Genomic DNA, 7,671 nt, shown 5'->3' on the forward strand with positions numbered 1-7,671 from the left:
GGACTCTTGGAACAAGATGAAAACATTACAGGAATAAGCCTAAAACACATTTATATAGTTATAATTATAAATCACAATAAAACCTACAAAGAAAAAAAAGACACTAAAAGAGATCATAGCAGAGGGAATCTAATTTAGATTGGAATGCCAGGAAAGTCTTTCCAAGGATATGGTATTGTAAATTAAGCTAAAAAGCATGAAAACCAATTCTACACAAACTATTCCAGAAAATACAAGAGGAGGGAACACTGCATGAAAATCATTCAGTAAGGCCAGCACTCTACTGACACCCAAACCAGACAAAGATACTACAAGAAAGAAAGCAAGGAAAGGAAACTCCCAATAATATTCCTCATAAAATAGGAGACATAGTATTGAAATTGATGTGAAAATCCTCAAGAAAATATGAGCAAGTTGAATTCAGGTATAAAAAGAAGATAACATGCTATGATTAAATATATCAGGAAATGTAAATCTGGTTGAACATTTTAAAATCAATAGATGTAATTTATCGTATTAACAGGTGAAAGCAGAAAACCATATAATCATCCCACAGGATGTAGAAAAAATATTTGACAAAATTTAATATCCACTCATGATAAAATCTCTCAGCATAGAGGGATAGTGGAGAACTTCCTCAACTTGATAGTGAGCATCTCTGAAATACTTCTAGCTAACTTCTCAGTTAGTAAGGAAAGACTGGATGCTTTCTCTCTGAATGCGAGAACAAAGCAAGGATGTCCTCTCTCACAACTTATATTCAAGATTTTGCTTGAGGTCCTTGTCAGTGCAATAAAAGGAAAAAAAAAATACAATAAAGGCATCCAGATTGGAATAAATGAAATAAAAACAAAATTGTTTTTATTTTTAGTTAGCATGATTGCTTGTGGAGAAAAATCTCAAAGAACTTAACAAAAACTTAGTAGAACTAATAAGCAATACTATCTAGAGTGAAAGAAACAAGGTCAAGTTTATTTTGTACCCTGTATTTCTGTATTTCTGTTTTATTTCTGTATGGCAGCAATGAACAGTTGGAAATTAAAATTTTAAAACAGCATCAAAAACATAAAATGCTTAGCTATAAATCTAACAAAACATATACAGATTCTGTGCCAAAAACTGTAAATGTCTATTTAAAAAATCAAAGAAGAGCTGAACAGAGAGCTACATCATGTCTATTGTTGGAAAATTCAATAGAATTAAGATACAAATTTCCTCAAAGTGATCTGGATGCAACACAATTCCATTCAAATCCAAGCAGACATTTCCTTTTAAAATCCACAAGCTGTTTCTAAATTCACACGAAAATTCATAAGAATAAAAAAGCCAAAATACTTCTGAAAGAGAACAAATTTAGAAGACTCCTACTATCTGACTTCAGGATTTATTATAACACAGTGTAATTCTGGTGAAAAGACAGACATGTAGATTAATGAAATAGAATAGATACTAGAAATACAGTAACTATACACAGGCAATTTTTCACAAAAATGCAAAATGCAATTCAATAGAGAAAGTATAGGTTTTTAACAAATGGTGCTGGAACAATTGGACATCTGTATATAAAAAAAAGAGTTTTAATTCATACCTTGTATCATATACCAAAACTAAAATAGATCGTATTCATAAATATAAAACTATAAAACACATAGAGGAGAACCTACAATAAAAATCTTTGTGACCTTAACTTAGACAAAAATTTCTTGGACATGACACCAAAAATATGATCCATAAAATTATGATAAATTAGACATTATCATAATTTAAAAGTTTTTGTCCAAAAGATACTGTTAGAATAAAAACACAAACCAGAAACTTGGAGAAAACATTTGCAAAACACAAATCTAATAAAGGGCTTGTATCCAGGTTATGTAAAGACCTCTTGAGCTCAATAATAAGGAAACAAATAATTTCATAAAAATACATAGGCAACAGATTTGAGTATAGAGTTCAACAAAGAAGATATAAGGATGGCAAAAAAGCTCATAATAAGATGTTGAACATCAGGTGTCATTGGAGAAATTAAAGCCACAATGATATACCATTATATTCTATTAAAAGAGCCTAAATTTAAAAAAAAATTTTTTTAAATGACAGCACCGGCCAGGCGCAGTGGCTCACACCTGTAATCCCAGCACTTTGGGAGTCCAAGGCAGGTGGATCACCTGAGGTCAGGAGTTCGAGACCAGCCTAGCCAACATGGTGAAACCCTGTCTCTACTAAAAATATAAAAATTAGCCAGGTGGGGTGGAAGACATCTGTAATCCCAGCTACTCAGGAGGCTGAGGCAGAAGAATCTCTTGAACCTGGGAGGCGGAGGTTGCAGTGAGTGGAGATTACACCACTGCACTCCAGCCTGGGCAACAAAGTGAGACTCCATCTCAAAAAAAAAAAAAAAAAAAAATGATGACAGCACCAAGTTCTGACCAGGATATAGTGCACCTGGAACACTCATACATTGCTGGTGGAATACAAAATGGAACAGCCATTTTGAAAAACATTTTAGCAGTTTCTTATACAATTGTTTATTATTAGTAGTAGTAGTATTGGGATAGGGTCTTGCTCTGTCACACAGGCTGGAGTACAGCGGTGCGATCACAGTTGAATCCAGCCTTTACCTCCCGGGCTCAAGCTTCCTCATGCCTCAGCCTCTGGAGTAGCTGAGACTACAGGCACATGCCACCACACCCAGCTAAGTTTCTTAAAAATTAAACACACTTTAGCATAAGACACAGCAATTTTACTGCTAGGTATTTATCCCGGAGAAATGAACATATTATGTCCGTATACAAACCTATAAGCAAATATATACATAATGAGTTTATTCATAATATCAAAAACTGGAAACAACTCAAATGCCTTTCAACTGGTAAATAGATAAACAAATTGTGGTGGATCTGTGCAATGAAATTATACTCAGAAATAAAAAGAACTACCAATACCCACAACAATCTGGATGAATCTGAAATGTATAACACTTAGTGAAAGAAACCAGATTCAAAAATTTATATACTTGTTTAATCACATTTACGTGTCACTCTGGAAGAGATCATTGTTTGGCAAGGGCTGGGAATGGAGTGAGGAGTTAATTAGAAATACACGCAAAGTGGCCCGGTGCGATGGCTTACGCCTGTAATCCAGCACTTTGGGAGGTCGAGGCCGGCAGATCACTTGAGGTTAGGTGTTCAAGACAGCCTGGCTAACATGGGGAAAGCCAGTCTCTACTAAAAGTACAAATAATTAGCCGGGTGTGATGGCGCACGCCTGTAGTCCCAGATACTCGGGAGGCTGAGGCAGGAGAATCGCTTGAACCCGGGAGGCGGAGGTTGCAGTGAGCCGAGATCACGCCACTGCACTCCAGCCTGGGCAACAGAGCGAGACTCTGGCTCAAAAAAAATTAAAATAAAAAAATAAAAAAATTAGCCAGGTGCAATGGTGCACACCTGTGGTCCCAACTACTTGGAAGGCTGAGGTGAGAAGATCACATGAGCCCAGGATGTCGACGCTGCAGTGAGCTCTGATTGTTCCACTGCACTCTAGCCTGGGCTATAGAGCAAGACCCTGTCTTAAAGAAAAAGAGAGAGAAAGAAAGAAAGAAAAAAGATAGAAGAAAAAGAGGGAAGGAAGGGAGGGAAGGAGGGAGGGGAGGGGGAAGAGGAGAGGAGGAGGAGAGGGGAGAGGGAGCAGAGGGGAGGGGCGGAAGGAAGGGAAGGAAATGAGGCTTGGAACCAGAGCCATGGAACTCTGTTCTTGATGGCGGCATCTCCCTCATCAAGTCGGGGCGTCCATCTCCCTGCTGGCTAAGGAGGCTCCCACCCCAGTGGAGGGCAGGACTCACCTCTGGCTTCAGTGTCAGGAACATGGTTGGCTGCGAGTAGACGGTGGGAAGATGGATAGATATTTGCTGGCCCAATGAAGGAGTGGGGGTTGTGACTAAACACGATGCCTGATCCTCTTCTGGGGCTCCAGCTGGCACCCGGAGCTGAAGAGAAAGGCTTTATGATGAAACTTCCCTTCTGCCAAAAATAACCAGTGCAAGCTGGGCATGGTGGCACAAGTCTATAGTCCCAACTACTCAGGAGGCTGAGGCAGGAGGACTGTTTAAGCCTGGGAGCTTGAAGCCAGTCTAGGCAACATAGCAAGACTCTGTCTCTTTTCAATTAAAAACTATTGCAGCTTCCTCAATCTTCCCCGGCAGCCTGGGGTGGGGCGCTCTGCTTTTCAGAGCTGCCTCCAGAACTTCATCCTTCCTCCTTCCCTCCTCCACCCTCCTCTTCTTGTTTCCATCACAGCCCCGCCACCCTCAAGCCACACCCCATTGATCATTTGCTAAAGATTTTAGTACCTGGCTCTGGCCTGCTTTCCACCGTCAACACTCACATCAAGGCACCTGGATCTCTTCTCCGCCGGCAATCCTGCCTTCCGCCTTCAGGTATGGATGCTGTCAGGAGAGATCTCCATCTGCTCCCAAGGCCAAGTTTCCCAACACCCTGCAGCAAGGTCTGCCCTCCCTCCTAGCATTGTAGATGGGCCTGCCAGGGCCAGGACTAGGATGAAACAGGCCAGCAAGGCACCCAGGGCATAAAGGTTAAAGAGGCACTCATCCCCAGGGTCATACCAGTAGAGAGTCGGCACCTGAGAATGAGTGCCTCCTCAATTTTACACTTGCTTGCCTTGCTGTAGTCCCAGCTCTGGGACCTACCTTATGAACACAAGGCTCTGGTCCCCTCCCACTTCCTCAGGGCTGTCTCTTTTGTGGCATCCCTCCCATCAGCTGCAAACAGATCCTGTGTAAATACCACCATACAAAGCCGGCCTTGACCCACTTTGCCCTCCAGCTATTGCTCCATTCTTCTGTTCTTTTTTCTTTCTTTCTTTCCTTTTTTTTTTTTTTTAGGGTTTTTTTTTTTTTTTTTAGTTTTTGACCAGGTCTTGCTCTGTCACCCGGGCTTCAGTGCAGTGGCATGATCTTGGCTCACTGCCGCCTTGACCTCCTGGGTCCAAGTGATCCTCCCACCTCAGCCTCCCAAGTAGCTGGGACTACAGGTGTGTGCCATCATGACTGGCTAATTTTTTATTTTTTGTATTTTTTTTTTTTGTAGAGACGGGGTCTCCCCATTTTGCCCAGGATGGTCCGAACTCCTGGGCTCAAGCAATCCTCCTGCCTCCACCTCCCAAAGTGCTAGGATTATAGGTGTGAACCACCATGACTGGCCCTTCTTTTTTTTTTTTTTTTTTTTTTTTTGAGACGGAGTCTCGCTCTGTCGCCCAGGCTGGAGTGCAGTGGCGGGATCTCGGCTCACTGCAAGCTCCGCCTCCCGGGTTCACGCCATTCTCCTGCCTCAGCCTCCCGAGTAGCTGGGACTACAGGCGCCCGCCACTACGCCCGGCTAATTTTTTGTATTTTTAGTAGAGACGGGGTTTCACCGTTTTAGCCGGGATGGTCTCGATCTCCTGACCTCGTGATCCGCCCGCCTCGGCCTCCCAAAGTGCTGGGATTACAGGCGTGAGCCACCGCGCCCGGCCATGACTGGCCCTTCTGTTCTTATTTCTAGCAAAGCTAAAGTCATCCACCTTTGACGTCTCTACTTTCTCTCCTTCCAGTCTCCCCAAGAAGTTGCTCTTGACCTCCACCCAACAGCACAGCCTGTTGTTGATTCAGTGTCTCCCATCCAACATGGCTGTGGCCCCAGCCATCCTCCCAGCCTCCTGCCTTGGTAGATGCTATCTCTGCCCTTAGTTCTCATGCCCTAATTAATAGCCGGGCTGTGGGTGCTAAGAGGTACCCAGCTCCTCCTAGCTCAGAATCCAGTGACAAATCTTCTTTATGTTAACAGGGCAACTCCTTCCAAATCCCTGGGCTGCTGTGTATGACTGCTGGGGTGAACGTCGCCATGTACTCTACCCCTTACTGTGCTATCGTTCAGAGGTCTTGTCATTGATGATGATTAAGGAAATCATAAAAATGTTAAACGAAGGCCAGGCATTGTGGCTCACGCCTGTAATCCCAGCACTTTGGGAGGCTGAGGCAGAAGGATCACTTGAGCCCAGAGCTCAAGACCAGCCTGGGTAACATAGTAAGAACCTGTCTCTACAGATTTTTTTTTTTTTTTTTTTCAGCTGGGCTGGTGGTGCATGCCTGTAGTTCCAGCTACTCAGGAGTCTGAGGTGGGAGGATTACCTGAGCCCAGGAAGTCAAGGCTGCAGTGAGCCATGATCCTGCCACTGCACTCCAGCCTGGGTAATAAAAACCAGCCTGTTTCAAAAACCCAAACAAATAACAAACAAAAAAAATGCAAAATGAAGAAAGAGTCGTCTCAGGAGCACGTTCCTCTGTGTGTGTGAGGAAATGTTACATATATAGTATATGTAGAGCGACAGAGACTCACAGAGAGAGAGAACGAGTCTAAAGCAGAAGCTAAAAGCCCAAGGAACCAAATGCAATGAGATGCCACTAAATACCCATTAAAAATAAATCAGTCAGTCATGATGGCTCACACCTGTAATCCTAGCAATTTGGGAGGCTCAGGCAAGAGGATCACTTGAGCCCAGGAGTTCAAGACTAGCCTGGGCAACATAATGAGATCCCATCTCTACAAAATTTTTTAAAGTGCCTGCAGTCCTAGCTACTCAGGAGGCTGACGTGGAAGGATTCCTTTGAGCCCAGAAGTTTAAGGTTACAGCGGGCTCTGATCGTGCCACTGCACTCTAGCCTTGGTGACAGAGCCAGATCCCAATTCTAGAAAAAAACGAAAACTGAAAAAGTCAGATTTAAGGCCCACAAGAGCAAATGTTGGTGAGGATAGGAAGCATCTGGAACCTTCATAGGTGGCTGATGGGGATGCAAAAATCATACAGTCATTTTGGAAAATAGTTAGACTTTTTTTTAAAAAATTCTACTTATTTATTGGCTAGTGTAGATCTTTATTTATTTGTTTGTTTTGAGACAGAGTCTGCTCTGTAGCCCAGGCTGGAGTGCAGTGGCGCCATCTTGGCTCACTCCAACCTCCGCCTCCCAGGTTGAAGCGATTCTTGTGCCTCAGCCTCCCAAGAAGCTGAGATTACAGGCATGTGCTACCACGCCCAGCTAATTTTTGTATTTTTAGTAGAGACAGGGTTTTGCCATGTTGGCCAGGCTGGTCTCAAACTCCTCGTCTCAAGCTGTCTGCCTACCTCGGCCTCTCAAAGTGCTGGGACTACAGGCGTGAGCCACCCTACCTGGCCTAGTGTAGATCTTTAAATACGAGGTATTTTCTTTAAAAGTTAAACACACACTCGCCACATCACCCAGCAATGGTGCCATGTGGTGAATATCCATTCAGGTATCTAGGTATCTGCGCCAAAGAAACGAAAGACTGTCTGAAAATGTTCAAGGCAGCTTTATAAAAATACCCAAAGAATGGAAATCACTCAAATGTGCATCAACTGATGGATGGAAAAAATGGGAGTATATTGGCCAGGCACAGTGGCTTACATCTATAATCCCAGAATTCTGGGAGGCTGAGGCAGGAGGATTGTTTAAGCCCAGGAGTTCAAGACCAGCCTCAGCAACATAGCAAGACCCTGTCTCTAAAGAAAAGGAAAGATGGTCTGGAATACCACTCAGTGATAAAAGAAAAGAACTACTGGGCTGAGCGCGGTGGCTCATGCCTGTAATCCCAGCAATTTGGG

General features: G+C 43.2%; 2 annotated features.

Moving 5' to 3' along the window:
* Positions 3,190 to 3,735: an enhancer, noted in NCBI's record as "H3K27ac-H3K4me1 hESC enhancer chr19:22723129-22723674 (GRCh37/hg19 assembly coordinates)". NCBI's record gives its function as "activates a minimal SCP1, AML or CMV promoter by ChIP-STARR-seq in naive H9 embryonic stem cells {active_cell/tissue: H9 hESC(naive)}" and the evidence as "EXISTENCE:reporter gene assay evidence [ECO:0000049][PMID:30033119]".
* Positions 3,736 to 4,281: an enhancer, noted in NCBI's record as "H3K27ac-H3K4me1 hESC enhancer chr19:22723675-22724220 (GRCh37/hg19 assembly coordinates)". NCBI's record gives its function as "activates a minimal SCP1, AML or CMV promoter by ChIP-STARR-seq in naive H9 embryonic stem cells {active_cell/tissue: H9 hESC(naive)}" and the evidence as "EXISTENCE:reporter gene assay evidence [ECO:0000049][PMID:30033119]".

Source organism: Homo sapiens, chromosome 19, assembly GCF_000001405.40.
Source record: "Homo sapiens chromosome 19, GRCh38.p14 Primary Assembly".
NCBI classification, from domain to species: domain Eukaryota; kingdom Metazoa; phylum Chordata; class Mammalia; order Primates; family Hominidae; genus Homo; species Homo sapiens.